The 20,855-nt window shown below is 40.2% G+C and overlaps 1 protein-coding gene across 7 annotated transcripts in view; it reads right to left on the reverse strand.

Moving 5' to 3' along the window:
- PXDNL (peroxidasin like) overlaps nucleotides 1–20,855 on the reverse strand; it is a 489,869-nt gene that overhangs the window by 462,271 nt on the left and 6,743 nt on the right. The window contains exon 2 of one of the 7 annotated variants that reach the window (XM_047421367.1): nucleotides 3,231–3,393. The exons of the other annotated variants lie outside the window; for them this stretch is intronic. The gene's annotated coding sequence lies outside the window, so the exon portion shown is untranslated. The remainder of the gene's footprint in view (nucleotides 1–3,230; nucleotides 3,394–20,855) is intronic. 7 annotated transcript variants of the gene reach the window in all.

A 20,855-nucleotide genomic window follows, 5' to 3' on the forward strand; every position in this document is an offset into this window, starting at 1 on the left:
CAAAAGCCCTCTTGGAACACAGGCACATGTGCACTCTCACCGCCAGCTTTGGCCAAGGCTGCTCCTGCCCAGAATACCGCCCCATCCTCCTCATGGTGACTTCCAGTTCATCCTTAGCTATGGCCTCCTCACCACATGTGTTCAAATGACCTGCTGCTACACAGTTAACCACAGTGTAGGTCAGGAATTTGGACAAAACACAGTAGGGTGGCTGTTCTCTGCCCATTGGTGTCTAGGGGCTCAGATGATAAGAAGGAAAGACTGACCTCACAGGACCATTGCCAGGAGTGCCCACCCACAGCCTCCGGGGGCTGGACTCTTACAAGGGGCCTACTGCTCCAGGAGTGAGTGTTCCAGCAAATAGAGCAGTGTTGCCTGGCCTTCAGAGATGCCTTGGGCTTCCCCCTTATTGTGTGGATTAAAGCAGTCACAGCACCTCCAGGTTCAAGGAGAAGGGCTTAGCTCCAAGCTCAAGGGAAAGAGGGTCAAAGAATCAGCCACCATGTTTCAAAGCCACCAAGAAAGAGAAGTGTTGAATCCTTAAATATCAGGATAAATGCTTCTCCTATCAGTTCCCTCCTATGGCAGGACTAATCACAGCCTTTGGAAGGTGTTTACTCTCATTCTCCATAGACTATCAGCTCCTTAAATAACTTATTCATCATCTTCTGCCTAATTATTGCTACAGTGCAGGGCACATAGTAGTCACTGATAAAATATTTGTTGAACAAATTGTTCCACACAAGAATACTTACAGATGCTTCTTAATCTCTTCTCATATGTATTGACTTACACTGAATAATCTGTCTAGCATATTCTCACTCCTTTATGGCGTGCTAAATACAAGGAAGAATTTCAGTCTATGAGGCATGGCTTCCAACCAACGTCTCCAAGTCATGGTACTTATCATGAAGCCAAGTTATCTAACAACAATCTTCTGGGGTTAACATAACCTTATCCCATAAAATTTCTCTTATAGGCAGAAAATTCACTTTAGTGGCTTATGAATGTCCTGAATATGTCAGACTGTTTCCTTACTGAGCATTCCCTCTGTATTCAATTTAAGAAACATGACAATCTGCGATTTTAATATTAATAAAGCAAATTGACTTACAAAAAGTGTACAGCATTCATGCATCCACAGTAGCTAATGGCTTAGGCAATAGGCAATATCCAGACATGCATACAATTGTATAAAATTTGAGTTAAAATGTATTATTGCATAATTATGAGAATAGCTTCCTCCTGGGTAAAAAGTGTCAAGATGGGTTAAAAATCAGTGCCGTTTTACTTGGAGACCACATTATTCCAGTTTCTTTTGCTACAGGATAAATTGCTAAGTTGTAAGCAATTGGTGCCTTGAAACCAGCTGGCATCACGTAGCTGTGCACAACCCAAACACCATCAAGTGAAGTGCTTTATTATGTCCACCAGGATGTATGCACAGCCCGAAGTGCCTGCAACTACTGGACACTGCAGAAAACCTCCTTCTGCTGCTGAGTCGAATAACACGTAATGCCTTCACTAATAGAGAATAAAGTGGTTCCAAATAGTTGTCCTTAGGGAAGAAATACAGAATGGAAATTGAATAACTTATCCCAGCTAGATGCTTTTGATTGGCCTTCTGGAATGTTCACATCCCTTTAAAACTTGGCAGAGTTCACCCCAGCAGTATAGGAGATGGAAGCCAAAAAGATAACACAAGATACTTTGAATTTCAGTTTTTTTCTACTCATGCATTATTATAACTAAACCGTATAAAAATAATGCTCTACTACCTTTGATATGGAACAAACAATGGATAAACTACTGGAAAGCCATTGCTGAAATACACATATCTAAATTTGGGGGAAAGGTGATCTCTAAGCAACAGGGAGAAATTCCATGTGTAACAGGAATTTTGAATGAAAGGGGCGTATTAGCCAGATAGCCAAGTTCCTACCACAGCATCCCCACAAAACTGTTGATATGTTTAGCGAGCCTTAGAAATAGTCTCACTGGAAAGAAATTGGTAAAATGGAACTAAACATTTCAAGTCAATAGGGCTAAAATTATGTTTTTAGATAGATTTGGAGGTTCAGTTCTTAAAATTCCAAAGTCATGATTGTTCATGTCTTCTGAAAGATACACAGACTGTGATTAAATATTTTCTTTCCCCCAAAAAAAAATCAATTTGAAAAACATGTGAACTAGCAGGTGTATGTTGATAGAATAGATATGGCATAACACTACTCAGAAATCTCTGCTCAACATACTCTTAGTTTAGCAAACTGTAAAGTCTTTTGAGACCAAGAACTATACAAGACTCTCCTCTCTTTTTCTAGCAAGAGGTGGACATATTTGATAAATAATTTTACTTTCTCTGTCAACTCTTGAAAAGACATTTCAATAAGACATCACTTTTATATTTGTTAATGTGTGAAAGATCCCTGTAAAACTACCAAGGAACCAAACTGCATATTTTATCAGTCAAAACTAATTATTTCTCCTTGACAAATTATGCTTTTCTATTGTTTTTACGAATTCTTAAGCAGATCAATCAGCATAATACACTCATACCAGAATCTCGCTCATGAACTTTATATGTTTCTTTCATATCTGCCATAAAGGCAATGGGAAATCCTTGTAAGTAGCAGAGTAACCATAGGGCCTTTAGACAGTTCATAAACATTAAATAGAAAATATAATAGTCAGATATTTGAGTTGATGTACTCCTCTCATTATAGTCAATCTCAGCATTGCTCCTAATTGGATCAACGTCGCATGGAAACAAGTGCAACATGCTTCTAGTAATAAAAGACAAAGGAATGCCTGAACACACAGTAAAGAGTGTGCTTGCTCATCAGAGAGGCACTTATTAGGAGGCACAGAAATTTTTCCTGCAGTTAGAAAAAAAAAATTATTCTGCTTTGCTTCCCTTTACAATGTTGCTATAAATTTCATAGCATAGAATAATATGTGTAGAAAAAATAATACTTTAATACCCAAAGCAACTGAAAACACAAAATCACTCATTTAACCCCCCTCTTTTTAGCAGGAAAAATTATATTTCTATTAAAATTAAAATACATTCATATATAGGTTTTGCTTATTGAAATAATGTAAATGCCCCAGAAAGCAATGCTTCTATGATCATAAAATTGTAAACAAACAACCAAGACACATTTTAAGCATCAGTGGTTATATATTTCTCTTAGGCAAATGGTCTTCAGTGAAACTCCTGGGCTTACCATCAAGATCTTTAGTGGAATTAAACATTTTAGATGGAACAAGCTGTTTCTAGGATGCACTTGATCGTGGTCCTTTACACTCTTCTAAAACTTGTCCTCACTCTAACTCCAGAATCCACTGTTTTGATTTTATTACCAAAAATACAATGCTGGTTGTTTGTACCTGCCAAAAAAAAAAACTTGAATGAAATGATTAACATGGTTCATTAGATAATGCCTGAGGACATGCACATTCAAGGCATATTTCAAAGGAACAAATGCCATTTTATTATTACGATGATTCATACAATGCACATTAGTAATACATGTACAGGCAGACTTTGTCTTACGGTGCTTTGCTTTACTGTGCTTCAGAGATACTGTGTTTCTTACAACCTGAAGGTCTGTGGCAACCCTGAGTGGAGCAAGTCTACTGGTGACATTTTCCCAACAGCATGTGCTCACTTTGTGTTTCTGTATCATATTTGGGTAATTCTCCCAATATTTCAAATGTTTTCATTATTATTATATCTGTTATAGTGGTCTGTGTTCAGTGATCTTTGGTGTTATCATTGTAATTGTTTGGGGGACCACGAACCACAGCCACACAAAATGGTGTACTTAAATGTTGTGTGTGTTCTGACTGCTCCAACCAGCTGTTCCCCCCATCTCTCTCCCTCTCCTTGGGCCTCCCAATTCCCTGAGAAAGAACAGTATTGAAATTAGACCAACTAATAACCCTCCCACAGCCTGTAAGTGTTCAAGGGAAAAGAAGAGTGGCAAGTCTGTCACTTTAAATCAAAAGCTAGAAATGATTAAACTAGTGAGGAAGGCATGTCAAAAGCCAAGATAGGCCTCTGTACCTTAGACCAGAGCAAAGCCCTCACTCTCTTCAATTTTGTGAAGACTGAGAGAGATGAGGAGGCTAGAGAAGAAAAGTTTGAAGCTAGGAGGGGTGAAGCAAGATGGCAGAATAGAAGACTCCACCAACCATCCCCGCTTCAAGGACACCAATTAAACAACTATCTACAGGAAAAAAGCACCTTTGTAAGAACCAAAAATCAGCTGAGCACTCACATTACCTGGTTTTAACTTCATATACTGAAAGAGGCACTGAAGAGGTAGGAAAAACATTCTTTTTCTTTTTTAAGAAAACAATTTTTTTTTTTGAGATGGAGTTTCACTCTTGTTGCCCCGGCTGGAGTGCAGTAGCACAGTCTCAGCTCACTGCAACCTCCACCTCCTGAGCTCCAGCGATTCTCCTGCCTTAGCCTCCCTAGTAGCTGGGACTACAGGCGCCCGCCACCACCCCCAGGTAATTTTTGCATTTTTAGTGGAGACAGGATTTCACCATGTTGGCCAGGCTGGTCTTGAACTCCTGACCTCAAGTGATCCGCCTGCCTTGGCCTCCCAAAGTGTGGAAAAATATTCTTGAATCACTGATGACAACCCTTCCTCACTCCCCGACCCCCATCCTCACCCCCACCCCCATGCCCACCTCTTCAATGTGGTGCTGAGAGCATTTCTGTGCCCTGGGAAGAAGAGGGCCAGCAACTGTGACACACTGAAGCTAGCGGAGGCTGTTCATGAAGTTTAAGGAAAGAAGGCATCTCCATAACATAAAAGTACAAGGTGAAGCAGCAAGTTTTGATCTAGAAGCTGCAGCAAGTTATCCAGAAGACCTGGCTAAAATCACTGATGAAAGTGGCCACACTAAACAACAGATTTTCAATGTAAAGGAAACAGCCTGCTATTGGAAAACAATGCCATCTAAGACTTTTGTAGCAAGAAAGAAGTCAATGACTGGCTTCAAAACTTTGAAGGACAGGCTGAACTCTCCTATCAGGGGCTAATGCAGTTGATGAATTTAAGTTGAAACCAAATTTTATTTACCCTTCTTAAGATCCTAGAGCCTTTAAGAATGATGCTAAATCTACTTAGCCTATGCCCTAGAAATGGAACAACAAAGCCTGGATGACAGCACATCTGTTTACAGCAGAGTTTACTGAATATTTTAAGTCTACTGCTGCAACCTACTTCCCAGAAAAAAAAAAAAAAAGAATCTTTTCAAAATATTACCACTCATTGACAATGCACCTGGTCACCCAAGAGCTCTGATGGAGATGTACAAGGAGATTAATGATGTTTTTCATGCCTACTAACACATTATTCCTTCAGCAAGCCTGGATCAAGAAGTAATTTTGACTTTCAAGTCTTATTATTTATGAAATACATTTCTTATGGCTACAGCTGCCATAGATAGTGAATCCTCTGATAGATCTAGACAAAGTACACTGAAAACCTTCTGGAAAAGATTCACCATTCTAAATGCCATTAAGAACATTCGTGATTCATGAGAGAAAGTCAAAATATCAACATTAACAAGAGTTTGTTGGAAGTGCATTTTAACCCTCGGGGATGACTTAGAGGGGTTCAAGACTTCAGTGGAGGAAGTAACTTCAGATGTGGTAGAGAATCTCAAGAAAACTAGAATTTGAAGTGGAGCCTGTGATATGACTGAATTGCTGCAATCTCATAATCAAACTTGAACAAATGAGTTCTTGCTTCTTATGGATGAGCAAAGAAAGTAGTTTCTTAAAATGGAGTCAACTGCTGGTGAAGATACTGTGAACACTTAAAATGACAACAAAGCATTTAGAATATTACATCAACTTAGTTGATAAGGCAGTAGCAAGGATTGAGAGAATTTACTCCAATTTTAATAGTTCTACTGTAGGTAAAATGCTATCAGACAGCCTCACATGCAAAAAAGAAATCTTTTGTGAAAAGAAGAGTCCATTAATGCAGGAAACTTCCTCATCTTATTTTAAGAAAATTCCACAGCTTCCCCAGCCTTCAGCAACCACCATCCTGATCAGTCAGCAGCCATCAACAGTGAGGGAAGACCCTCCACCAGAAAAAAAGCTTACAACTTGGCGAAGGCTCCAATGATCATCAGCATGTTTTAGCAATAAAGTGTTTTCAAATTAAGCTGTGTTCATTTTTTAGACATAATGCTATTGCACATTTAATAGGCTACAATATAGTGTAAACATAACTTTTATATATCCTGCAAAACCAAAAAACAATTGTGTGACTCACTTTTATGCGATATTAGCTTAATTGTAGTTGTCTGGGACTAAACCTGCAATATCTTTGTAATGACTGTATGTAAATTAGCTAATAATTTTGAGGACCATTAATGATTTTGAGGACCAGGAGATATTCCTCCTCTGGAGCTAGGAATGAAATCATTGTCACCCAGAATGAGTGGCTGAGAACGGGGCAAGGATGAATTCTCCAAAGGAAAGTCCCCTGTTGGGAAAGTGGTGGGGGTGCAAAAGCCACCACTCAATTGTTCAAGGAAAGCCTTTGGAGTGGAAGAGACAGTAATCATTCCAGCTTGGACATGAAATGAAAAACCAGGAGTAGAAATGTCATAGATAAAGATGTATTTGCACTTTAAGTCCTATGGAGTGTAACTAGTATAAGCTGCTTCACAATCTTAGACTTCAGACATCTTTGTAGTAGGGAGTCTGGAATCTCTCTCAGGGCTCCCTCTTTCCCCTACATGTCAAAAATCCTGCCCCATAGGGAGTTAGTCGAACCAGTGGTTCCCTTTCTCACTACTGCTCAGGACCACCTGTGAAGTTGAGTGCTCACAGTCCCACAGCTCGTGGTCCCAGTGCTGGGATGTGTTCTTGGCCTTGGTTCAGCTTTTCTGGAAAAAACAACCTCATTCTCACATTGCAGATCTCAAGTAGAGGTGTTCCAAGCTCTGGTTCCCAAGGCTTTAGGACTCAGTGCCCTATGCTTCAGTTCCGCACTAACTGCCTTCCAGAGCACCAACTACTCCACAAGGGCCAAGTCAAATGAACCCCAGTACTCCCTGTCCTGTGGATACAGAATTAATATTCCTGATTTCTCCCTGGGAATGCACACCACTAGTGCCTTTCCTTTTTCTTTTTCTTTTTTTTAATACCCCATTTATTTGGACATAGTGCTATCTGCCCATCCTTTTTAGGGCAGCCTCACTGAATACTTTCCTACTTTCCCTATTCTGTAAGACAAATTTCAGGTTCTCAGTAGTCATCAGTGTTGCAAAGAGTGGCCTATAGTTTTCTCTCCTCATTGTACCCATTTTTTTTTTTTTTGCTGTGTTTTTATGTTACTCATACGGTGAGTTCAATCCAAGTTGGAGATTTATCCTTGATTGATATATATAAGAATATTTCTAGAAAAGATTTGTCCTCAGAATGCCCTGCCAAAGAGGTAAAATTCAATTTTTCTCTTTTCCAGGAAGGATAAGCATTAACAAGCACAGATGGTGAACAAAGGTGAGACCGGGCGTGACACAAGTCTTCAGGGATGAACAATGAGGGGCACTCAGTAGTGCCAGGGCAGCTCTTGGATATAGTCTTCATTATATAGAGGGAGAAAAAAAGGAAAACCCAGAGGCTTGGGGATTAAATGATTTGCCCAAGATCATACACCTTCTTAGTGCCAGAAGAAAACAGGTATTCTGACTGGTGGCCTTCCATGACATCATGCCTGTGCAAATGACAATCACATCACAATAAATAACACAAAAGAAACTGTAGCCATTATCTTCTATTTTGCACTCTGCTTGCACTTGGTCTGTTTTTTCCTAACATACACCAGACTTGAATGACAAAAGGCTTATCTTTAGAAGATAAAATCCACCCAAGGAGTATCCTTCAGGGGAAAGAGCACACAAAGAAGCTTAGAGTTTAGAAGGAAGAACAAATATTAGGAAATTAAAGGGAACTTGTGTTACTTATCTTTAGACTCAATCATTTTTAAAAAATGAATTATTGTATTTATTATTATTGCCCTAAATATATATGCAAAATATTTTTCTAGTAAATTTTTTTCACTATTTTTCAAGTCTTGGAAGTTTAAGCCATCAATCTAAGATGTAACAAGACTTACAGTGAACAATCCAATGCTTGTTTTTTAAAAATGTCTCTAATGCATTAAAATCTATGAGGTTATTCAAGGATAATTAAATGTGATGTTTTAAAAGGGGAAAAAAGCACAGTATGACTGTATGGGAAAAGAAAACAAAATTAATTAGACACAGGCCTGGGAACAAGTCAATTTTTTTCATGTTAATTTTCATTAATAGATTTTTTTTTTTTTGCACAAACCTCCATTTCGAAAGAGAATGAAATGAAATATCATTCAAAAGGAAGAGGAGGACGATTCTTTGTCAACCACACAGGCATTCAAATGGCAAGTGTGGGATTTCCTCCACCACAAAGTGAGGTACAGCTGGCCTCAGACTCCAAAGAATGAACATTCAAAGAAACATTAAATTACTCTAAATTTTGCCTTTAAATTCCTATCTGGTTTGCTAATACTTTGGTGGAAGGTTCTACCACCTTTCTAAGATAAAGCCTTCTGTTTTCTAAGACGAGGTCCTGAGTTGCAAACCTTTTCTTATTTTCTCTTCTGGCATCCAGGAGCAACTAAGGGCAGCATTATTTTTTCTATGAGGCACAGAGATTCCAGGATCCCTTTCTTCCCTAGGCTACACGTGGGCCCATGCCGGAGTCGCAGCTCTCTGCGACACTGTCCTCCCTGATGGGCGAGGGAAGGGCCTGGAGGCGGCGGAGGGCAGCGGGGGCGAGGTCCGGATGGGCCCAGCCCCGGGTGCCAGCAGCCCTTGCTCCTGCTACAGCGTTGAGGAGGGCTGCCACTCTTTTATATATATATATGTGTGTGTGTGTGTGTGAGTGTTTCCAGTGCTTCCTCAACAAAAATAACTTTTTGGCTTCAAGAGACACTAATTGATCATTTTTGTAATCTTTGTAAATACACTTCTTTGTACCCTGCCTTATTTTTTAAAAAGAGATCCAGAATCTTTTAGAATTTACCATTTTCACCTCTGGGTTTTAATGGATACAATAATACTAGTACTAATAGGTGCAGCTAACATTCGAATAGTTCCTGGTACATGGTAAATAAGCACAAAATTATAGGCGAGGAGACTGACACCAAAGGATTGAAGCTACTTGCCCAAAGACACACAGCTCATAAACTGTGAAGGGAAAATTCAAGTGCAGGCAGTCAGGCTCTGGGATCCAGGGTCCTAAATACTGAGCTCTCTTGCCCCTCAACTAGATCTGTGAGCCAGAAATACATTGCAGGCAAAGCCTAAGCTTGCTAAGAGACGTCTTCTTACACAGAGAAAGACCGGTAGATCATGTGGTCACATGACTTCCATGGGCTTTATTCTGTGAGACTCAGATCATATTCACAACTGTGTAGTCCAAATTGGCCAGGACTGTGGGTGACAGTGCCTTCCAAACTACACAGAGGTGACCTGCAATCATTCAGGAAGGCACCCTTAACAAACAACGGCTCAGAGCTTGAAGGTCACGAAATGAAAAGCCATTCTCTAACAGTCAGAGAGTACCCAGGGATTGGGTTAACCCAACGCAGCTGTGACCATGTCATCCAGGTGACTTTCTGCTGCCTTAATTCCATCTCGTTGGTCAAATTCATTGGACGGAGAAAAGTATGGAAGGGTACACAAGTAGTTTTGCATAACTTATCAACCCTGCCGGTGCATGCAACCCTAAAAGTCAGGTGTTCATATAGCTCCCCCTTAGTAGAGTTAGCTTCCCACTCTCTCTGGACAGTTGAGGTTAGTACTTGTCCTGCTTTACCAGATAGTGGCAAAGAAAAATTCAATAGTGGATATAAAATCCTTCAATGCTTAATCATTATAGGGGCTGTTCTTGAAAGTTAGATTTTTTTGTATAGGCTCTATTCTCAGTACAAGGACCTAGATGCCCGGGTGAGTAAGATTTAGCAATACATTGTAAATCTGATGATGTCCCACTTAGAAAAAATAAATTCTTTTCTGTTTACAGAATCTGTTACCCTTCTTTTGCATTCAAAAAATTCAAAGAAATATTAAAAGAAAAATATAATCAGAAATTATACAAAAAAAGAAAATAAATGATTTAGAAAAAGTAGGTGGAAAACATTGAGTTTTACCTTCTGCCTTAAGTAAGAAGAGCAATCAGCTACTTGAAATCTTCCTTGAGGGGCCAAGATGGCTGACTAAAAACAGCTGCGGTCAGAGGCGCCCACTGAGAAGAATGAAAATGGCGAGTGAATCCTGCACCACAACTGAGGTATCGAGGTTCTCTCACTGGGACTGACTAGGTGGTTGGCATGACCCACGGACAGCAAGGAAAAGAAGAGTAGTGTGACAGCCCTCCTGGGAGCCACACAGGGCAAGGGGAGCTCCTACCCCCAGCCAAGAGATGTGATGAGTGATAGTGCTACCCTGTCTGGGAAACCACGCTTTTTCCACTGATCTATGTGACCGGGGGATCCTCGTGAGCCCACACCACCAGGGCCTTGGGTCCCAAGCATAGAGCTGTGCAGATTCTCAGCAACCACTCAGCTGGAGACTGCCTAAAACTACCGAATTCCCGGCAGGAGAGGTGTTCATCATCACTGCAGCTGCCTGCTGCCTAAGACAACTGAACTCCCAGGGCAGGGGTGGCAGCCATCACCGCAGCTCCAGTCTGCCATTTTTCCCCCTGCTGGTGCTGGGGAGACTGGATGGTTTGGACCCAGGAGGAATTCCCCACAGCACAGGATAATGGCTGTGGTACATTGTGGCCAGACAGCCTCTTCAGGCCAGACCTTGACCCAGCCCTCCTCACTGGGCGGGGCCTCCCTGCTGGAGTTTCCGCAACTCCAGCCTTGGGTTTAGGGACAGCACTCTGATCTTCCTGGGACTGAGCTCCTGTAGGGAGAGGCAGCCGTGGTCTCCATGAATCAGCAGACTTAGTCTTTACCCCTGAGGGCTCTGAGAACCAGGCAGTCTGGACAAATGGGATGTCCCCCAGCACAGCACACCCTATCCACCAAGGGGCAGCTAGAGTGCTTTGTTAAGCAGGTCCCAGATCCCATGCCTCCTGATTGGGTGAGACCCCCCACAACAGGGGTTGCCAGACACCTTATACAGGAGGGTTCCCACCGGCATCAGGTTGGTGCCCCTCTGGGACAGACAGCCCAGGGGAAGGAGCGGCAGCCATCTTTGCTGTTCTGTAACCTCCACTGATGACACTTGCACGAGGGACCCAGGTCTGGAGTGGACCCCCAGGAAACCACAGCAGCCCTATGAAAGAGGGGTCTGACTGTTAACAACAAACAAGCAAACAAACAGAAAGCAACAATAACAACAACAGCATCAACAAAAAAGCCCCCACAAAAACTCCACAAAGGTCAGCAGCCTCAAAGATCAAAACCAGATAATATCACTCATGAAGATGAGAAAGAATCAACAAAAAAATGCTGGTAATTCAAAAAGACAGAGCACCACTTCTCCTCCAAATGATCACAACACCTCTCCAGCAAGGGCACAGCGCTGAGCAGAGACTGAGATGGATGAATTAACAGAAGTAGGCTTCAGAAGGTGGGTAATAATGAACTTTGCTGAACTAAAGGAACATGTTCTAACCCAATGTAGAGCAGCTAAGAACCATGATAAAACATTATAGGAACTGGGCACAAGGACTCACGCCTGTAATCCCAGCACTTTGGGAGGCCAAGGTGGTCAGATCACTAGAGGTCAGGAGTTCAAGACCAGCCTGGCGAACATAGTGAAACACCGTCTGTACTAAAAATACAAAAATTAGTTGGGCGTGGTGACTGACACATGTCTGTAATCCCAGCTACTCAGGAGGCTAAGGCATGAGAATCACTTGAATCTGGGAGGCAGAGGCTGCAATGAGCCAAGATCATGCCACTGCACTACCCTGGGCAACAGAGCAAGACTCTGTCAACAACAACAACAACAACAACAAAAGATGGAAAAAAAAGTTACAGGAGCTGTTGACCAGAATAACCAGTTTAGAGAGGAGCATAAATGACCTGATGGAGCTGAAAAACACAACATGAGAATTTCACAATGCAACCACAAGTATCATTAACCGAATAGACCAAGCAGAAGAAAGAATTTCAGAGCTTGAAGACTATCTTGCTGAAGCAAGACAGGCAGACAAGATTAGAGAGAAAAGAAAAGGAATGAACAAGACCTCTGAGAACTATGGGATTATGTGAAAAGACGGAACCTATGACCGATTGGGGTACTTGAAAGAGATGGGGAGAATAGAACCAAGTTGGAAAACATACTTCAGGATATCATTCAGGAGAACTTACCAAACCTAACAAGACAGGCCAACATTCAAATTCAGGAAATCCAGAGAACCCCAGTAAGATCCTCCATGAGAAGATCAACACCAAGACACACAGTCATCAGATTCTCCAAGGTCAAAATGAAGGAAAAAATGTTAAAGGCACCTGGAGAGAAAGGCCAGGTCCCCTATGAAGGGAAGCCCATCAAACTAACTGCAGACCTCTCAGCAGAAACCCTACAAGCCAGAAGAGATTAGTGGCCAATATTAAACATTCTTAAAAGAATTTCCAACCCAGAATTTCATATCTGCCAAACTAAGCTTCATAAGCAAAGGAGAAATAAAATCCTTTTCAGACATGCAAATTCTGAGGGAATTCATCACCACCAGGCCTGCCTTGCAAGAGCTCCTGAAGGAAGTACTAAATATGGAAAAGAAAAACTGTTACCAGCCACTGCAAAAACACACTGAAGCACAAAGACCAATGACACTGTGAAGCAACTACATCAACAAGTCTCCAAAATAACCAGCCAACATCATGATGACAGGATCAAATTCATACATAATAATATTAATCTTAAATGTAAATGGACTAATTGTCCCAATTAAAAGACACAGAATGGCAAGCTGAATTAAGTCAAGACCCATCAGTGTACTGTATTCAAGAGACTCATCTCGTGCAGACACAGATAGGCTTCAAATAAAGGGATGGAGGAAAATTTACTAAGAAAATGGAAAGTAGGAAAAAGCATCCTAGTTTCTGACAAAACAGACTTTACACTAACCAAGATCCAAAAAGACAAAGAAGGGCATTACATAATGGTAAAGGGATCAATTCAACAAGAAGAGATAACTATCCTAAATGTATATGCACAAAATACAGGAGCACCCAGATTCATAAAAAAAGCTCTTAGAGACCTACAAAGGGACTTAGACTCCCAAAAAATAATAGTGGGAGACTTTAACACCACACTGTCAATATTAGACAGATCATCAAGACAGAAAATTAACTAGGATATTCAGGACTTGAACTCAGCTCTGGATCAAGTGGACATGATAGATATCTACAGAACTCTCCATCCAGAAAACAACACAATATACATTCTTCTTGGTGCCACATGGCACTTACTCTAAAATCAATCACATAATTGGAAGTAAAACGCTCCACAGCAAATGCAAAATAACTGAAATCATAGCAAACAGTATCTCAGAATACAGTGCAATCAAATTAGAACTCAAGATAAAGAAACTCATTCAAAACCACACAACTACATGTAAATTGAACAACCTGCTCCTGAATGACTCCTGGGTAAATAACGAAATTAAGGCAGAAATCAAGAAGTTCTTTAAAGCCAATGGGAACACAGAGACAATGTACCACAATCTCTGGGACACAGCTAAAGCAGTGTTAAGAGGCAAATTTATAGCACTAAATGCCCAAAAAGCTAGATGCGGGGGTCTGTCCTGCAGACCCTGACCCAATGATGGATGAATAAAGTACACTGACACACAGATACTCTGCTTTGCCAGTTCAGCTGAGTGTCTGGGCCACTATTTGCAACCGTGGCCCCGACTTGCCAGTGAGACTTACATTTATTCAGTAAAGATTAATTGACAAAGGTCATGACTAAACACACCTGTGGGTAATTAACCTGGTCACCCCGACCCTGGAGAGAGACATCGTGCACCCGCAAATGATCAAAGGTTGGTCTTAAGACCACATGAGTAAATAAGCTCATTAGGTAAACTCCCCACATTCCTTTGTACTCACTTTAAGCTATTTACTTAAGGTAAGGATCAGGTTGCCTTCAGCTATAATCCTTACTAAAGCTATGCAAATTTCTCGGCCTTCCAAGAAGGTTTGTGGCTATTACTATAACTATCTTTAATATTTTTCCCACCAGCCTGAATGAACCCCCACAACTAGAAAGATCTCAAATTGACACCTTAACATCACAATTAAAAGAACCAGAGAACTAAGAGAAAACAAACTCCAAAGCTAGCAGAAAACAAAAAATAACCAAGATCAGAGTGGAAATGAAAGGAATAACCAAGATCAGAGTGGAAATGAAAGGAGATAGAGACACACACAACAACAACAACCAAAAAAAAAAAAACCTTCAAAAAAATCAATGAATACACGAGCTGGTGTTTTGAAAAAAAAATTAATAAAATAGACTACTAGCTAGACTAATAAAGAAGAAAAGAGAGAAAAATCAAATAGACACAATAAAAAATGACAAAGGGGTTATCACCACTGACCCCACAGAAATACAAACAACCATCAGAGAATACTATAAACACCTCTATGCAAATAAACTAGAAAATCTAGAAAAAATGGTTAAATTCCTAGACACATACACCCTTTCAAGACTAAACCAGGAAGAAGTCAAATCCCTGAATAGACCAATAACGAGTTCTGAAATTGAGGCAGAAATACATAGCTTATCAACAAAAAAAAGCCCAGGACCAGATGGATTTACAGCTGAATTCTACCAGAGGTACAAAGAGGAGCTGGTACCATTTCTTCTGAAACTATTCCAAACAATTGAAAAGGAAGGACTTCTACCTAACTCATTTTATGAAGCCAGAATCATCCTGATACCAAAACCCGGCACAGATGCAACAAAAAAAGAGAACTTCAGGCCAATATCCTTGATGAGTATCAATGCAAAAATCCTCAATAAAATACTGGCAAACCAAATCCAGCAGCACATTTAAAAGCTTATCCACCATGATCAAGTTGGCATCATCCCCAGGATGCAAGGCTGGTCAACATATGCAAATTAGTAAATGTCATTCATCACATAAGCAGAACTAAAGATAAAAACCACATGATTATCTCAATAGACACAGAAAAGGCCTTTGATAAAATTCAACACTGATTCATGTTAAAAACTCTCAATAAACTTGGTATTGATAGAACATACCTCAAAATAATAAGAGCCATTTATGACAAACCCACTGCAAATATCACACTGAATGGGCAAAAGCTAGAAGCATTCCCCTTGAAAACTGGCACAAGACGAGGATGTCCTCTCTCACCACTCCTATTCAACATGGTATTGGACCTTCTGGCCAGGGAAATCAGGCAAGAAAAAGAAATAAAGGGTATTCAAACTGGAAAAGAGGAAGTCAAAATGTCTCTGTTTGCAGATGACATGATCCGATATCTAGAAAACCCCATTGTTTAAGCCTGAAAGCTTATTAAGCTGATAAGCCCCTTTGGCAAAGTCTCAGGATACAAAGTCAATGTGCAAAAATCACAAGCATTCCTATAAACCAACAACAGACAAGCAGAGAGCCAAATCATGAATAAACTCCCATTCACAATTGCTACAAAGAGAATAAAATACCTAGGAATACAACTTACAAGGTACGTGAATGACCTCTTCAAAAAGAACTATAAGCCACTGCTCTAGGAAATAAGAGAGGACACAAACAAATGGAAAAACATTCCATGTTCATGGATAGGAAGAATTAATATCATGAAAATGGCCATACTGCCCAAAGTAATTTGTAGATTCAATGCTATTCCCATTAAACTACCACTGACATTCTTCACAGAGTTAGAAAAAAAACTACTTTAAAATTCATTTGGAACCAAAAAAGAGCCTGTATAGCCAAGACAATCCTAAGCAAAAAGAACAAACCTGGAGGCATCATGCTACCTGACGTCAAACAATACAACAAGGCTACAGTAACCAAAACAGCATGGTACTGATACAAAAACAGACACATAGACCAATGGAACAGAATAGAGATCTCAGAAATAAGACCACACATCTACAATCAGCTGATCTTCAACAAACCTGACAAAAACAAGCAATGGGGGAAGGATTCTCTATTTATTAAAAGGTGCTGGGTAAACTGGCTAGCCATATGCAGAAAATTGAAACTGGACTCATTATACAAAAATTATACCTTATACAAAAATTAACTCAAGATGGATTAAAGACTTAAATGTAAAACCCAGAACCATAAAAACCCTAGAAGGAAACCTAGGCAATACCATTCAGGACATAGGCACAGGCAAAGATTTCATGATGAAAACATCAAAAGCAATTGCAACAAAAGCAAGAATTGACTAACGGAATCTAATTAAACTATAGAGCTTTTGCAAAGCAAAAGAAACTATCATCAGAGTGAACAGACAACATACAGAATGGGAAAAAATTTTTGCAATCTATTCATCTGAGAAAGCCTAATATCCAAAATCTGCAAGGAACTTAAACAAATTTACAAGGAAGAAACAAAACAACCCCATTAAAACCTGGGCAAAGGACATGAACAGACACTTCTCAAAAGAAGACATTTATGCAGTCAACAAACATATGAAAAAAGGCACATTACTGATCATTAGAGAAATGCAAATCAAAACCACAATAAGATACCATTTGATGCAAATCAGAGTGGTGATTATTAAAAAGTCAAGAAACAACAGATGCTGGCAAGGCTGTGGAGAAACAGGAACCTTTTTACACTGTTGGTGGGAATGTAAATTAGTTCAACCATTGTGGAAGACAGTGTGGTGATTCCTCAAAGACCTAGAACCAGAAATACCATTTGACCCAGCAATCCCATTACTGGGTATATACCCAAAGGAATATAAATCACCTAGAATCAGAAATACCATTTGACCCAGCAATCCCATTACTGGGTATATGCCCAAAGGAATATAAATCATTCTATTATAAAGATACATGCACACATATCTTCACAATAGTTAAGACATGGAATCAACCCAAATCCCCATCAATGATAGACTGGATAAAGAAAATGTAGTACATATACACCATGGAATACTATGCAGCCATAAAAAGGAACAAGATAATTTCCTTTGCAGGGACATGGATGGAGCTGGAAGCCATTATCCTTAGCAAACTAATACAGGAACAGAACACCATACACCACTTTTTCTCACTTATAAGTGGGAGCTGAACAATGAGATCACATGGACACAAGGAGGAGAAAAACACACACAGGAGCCTGTGGGGGCAGGGCAGGGAGGGAGAGCATCAGGATAAACAGCTAATGCACGTGGAGTTTAATACCTAGGTGATGGGTTGATAGGTGCAGCGAGTCACTATAGCACACATTTACTTATGTAACAAACCTGCAAGTCCTGCACATGTATCCTGGAACTTAAAATTAAATTAAATTTTAAAAAAAGATATCTTCCTGAGAAAATGTGAGGTACAAGTAAATAAAATAATTATTACTATAACCAACATTGGGAAGTGTAAAAATATAATAATTGATTGTTGTCTTGGGCTGGTGCCATGAGAGCTGTCTAGGATTCCCATGCAAACAGAGTTATAGTCCCTACTTGGTGGCTGCTTTTAGCTAACTTGGAACATTTTAAAAATAAATTCTCAACACTGCAACAGCTTTTCAACTATACTTGTCTTTAGAGTTGGCCAAAATATAGACCATGGCAAAATCAGCCTCTCTATAACAGGGCAAGGTGAGCCAGGAAGGGAACGGCTCCAGGTAAGGAGGCATTCTGATCTAGGTATGAAGAACAAACCATTTTACTGTGCACCTACATCTGGCTTAAAACAAGGGTGCCAACTAGAGAGATGGAGATCTTTGTAAGTTTCTCCCTACCCATGCCCAACCCTCACAGCATTACAGGATTAACCATCACATCAGCACTCAAATATTTCTCATATCTGCTTGTCAGAATATTTAGCCTCTAATTCTCTTTTCTCCCTTAGCTGATTTTCCCTAGAAATTTTTGTCTTTGGAATCTATTTTCCTCTTTGAACAGGCACATACCACAAGCCTTTTCTGTAAAAGTAGTCATCAACACAGGTGAGGTAGTAAGTGAGGCTTACAACTAAAATCGTTTCAGTCCAGGCAACTCCCTGTTAAACACAGAGTGGTCCACAGCACTCTTAGAATGGAGGGCCTGCCCCATGTCAAACTTTCAAATGGGCAATATTTTCAGCACCCCTCAAGTTTCACTGGGCCAATTGGCTCATTCCTGCATGCAACATATTTTATGTTAATATCCCAACATAAAATATGTTGGTATGTAAAATATTTTATGTTAATATATTTTATATTGTCTATCTTCTCTGTTCTCTGCCCTGAAGGAACTCAGTCTCTCAGAAAGACAAGTTAATAACGCTAATTCCACGTGGTATATTCCCTGATTCAGATAAGACAGGAAAGGTGTGTCACGCAGCCTGGGAGTAACAGGGAGAAGAAAGGCTTCCCCAAGGTGAGCTCTGAGCTGCTTCTGCAGAACAAGCACAGGCAGACTCAGTGTGGAGAAAATGGCCAAGGATGCATTCCTGGCAGGAAGAACTGTTGTGGGAAGTCAGGGACCCTGAACGGAGGGACCAGCTGGAGCCACGGCAGAGGAACATAAATTGTGAAGATTTCATTTTAATATGGACACATATCAGTTCCCAAAATTAATACTTTCATAATTTCTTATGCCTGTCTTTACTGCAATCTCTGAACATAAATTGTGAAGATTTCATGGACATTTATCAGTTCCCCAAAATAATACTCTTATAATTTCTTATGCCTGTCTTACTTTACTCTCTTAATCCTGTTATCTTTGTAAGCTGAGGATGTACATCACCTCAGGACCACTATTGTACAAATTGATTATAGAACATGTGTTTGACAATATGAAATCTGATTGTAAAACACGGGTGTTTGAACAATATGAAATCAGTGCACCTTGGAAACAAACAGAATAGCAGTGATTTTAGGGAACAAGGGAAGACAACCAAAGGTCTGACTGCCTGCGGGGTTGGGCAGAATAGAACCATATTTTTCTTTTTGCAGAGAGCCTATAAATTGACGTGCAAGTAGGAGAAATATCACTAAATTCTTCTCCTAGCAAGGAATATTAAATATTAAGACCCTAGGAAAAGAATTGCATTCCTGGGGGGAGGTCTATAAACAGCCGCTCTGGGAGTGTCTGTCCTATGTGGTTGAGATAAGGACTGAAATACGCCCTGGTCTCCTGCAGTACCCTCAGGCTTATTAGGGTGGGGAAAAGATCCCGCCCTGGTAAATTTGAGGTCAGACCAGTTCTCTGTTCTCGAACCCTGTTTTCTGTTAAGATGTTTATCAAGACAGTATGTGCACAGCTGAACATAGACCTTCATCAGTAATTCTAATTTTGCCCTTTGCCTTGTGATCTTTATTGCCCTTTAAAGCTTGTGATCTTTGTGACCAACTCCATGTTCATACACCCCCTCCCCTTTTAAAGTCCTTAATAAAAACCTGCTGGTTTTGTGGCTCAGGCGGACATCATGGACCTACTGATATGTGATGTCACCCCCGGAGGCCCAGCTGTAAAATTCCTCTCTTTGCACTCTTTCTCTTTATTTCTCAGACTGGCTGACACTTAGGGAAAATAGAAAGGACCTATGTTGAAATATTGGGGGCTGGTTCCCGATAAAGAACAGTGTGCACAAAGCCCATTTGGGTTCCTGCCTCTCTAGACTTTCTGCTGCACCTTCATAAACACAATCCACTTATGTTCTAATTGTATTGTGGCTGGACTGGTAGGCACTAATTTAATAAGCTGAGGTCATTCTATTTAGTTAGATAAAATGTCTATCTTTCATTGGGATATTAGTTGAACTGGTAAGCTGTTGGGAAATCTACCTTTGGGGGACCTCTAGGTTTGTCTCAAACCATGCATGTAGGCAGGTGCCTCTTTTACTTATTCCTGGGGCTCACACTCCAGGCGACATGAGTACATGAATCTTAAGATCTGTGTTGTTACTCTTGGAAATCATTTGCACAAAATATCATGCATGTCTCTCATAGCATATGTAACCATTAGCACTCTGTAGCATTTGTGGTTAAATGAGGGCTTTTAGTTCTGATTTTTTTTTTAAAGAAGTTAGTAGACAGGAATTTTTTTAAGTATTTTTAGCTGGAGTCATGTTCAAGGTTTTTTTTTTTTTAATTTTAAAATGCATGCATAAAACAGTCAGAATTGCACAGTTAATGTTTCTTGGTGTTTTTACTACTCCGATGAAGAATCACTGGAGAAGACCAACAAAGTTATGTAAATTAATCAGAAGGAGCAGCAAAACAACATGGATTTTAAACATAACTCTGAGTTTCTCCACTTCATTGTCTAGAGCAAGCTTGTCCAACCCACAATCTGCAGGTCACATGTGGTCCAGGATGGCTTTGAATGTGGCCCAAAGCAAATTCGTAAACTTTCTTGAAACATTATGAGATTTTCTGTGAATTTTTTTTCAGGTTATCAGCTATTGTTAGTGTTAGTGTATTTTATGTGTGGCCCAAGACAATTCTTCTTCCAGTGTGGCCCAGGAATGCCAAAAGATTGGACATCGCTGGTCTAGAGTTTGACAATAAAACTGTGCTGTGTCATTTGTTGTGGCTACTCTGTTGCCTGAAACAAAAGGCAGAACATATGAATGCTTTTATATTGCATTTGAAAAGGGTCTGTGAT

The sequence above is a fragment of the Homo sapiens genome, chromosome 8 (assembly GCF_000001405.40).
Source record: "Homo sapiens chromosome 8, GRCh38.p14 Primary Assembly".
In the NCBI taxonomy this organism is placed as follows: Eukaryota; Metazoa; Chordata; class Mammalia; order Primates; family Hominidae; genus Homo; species Homo sapiens.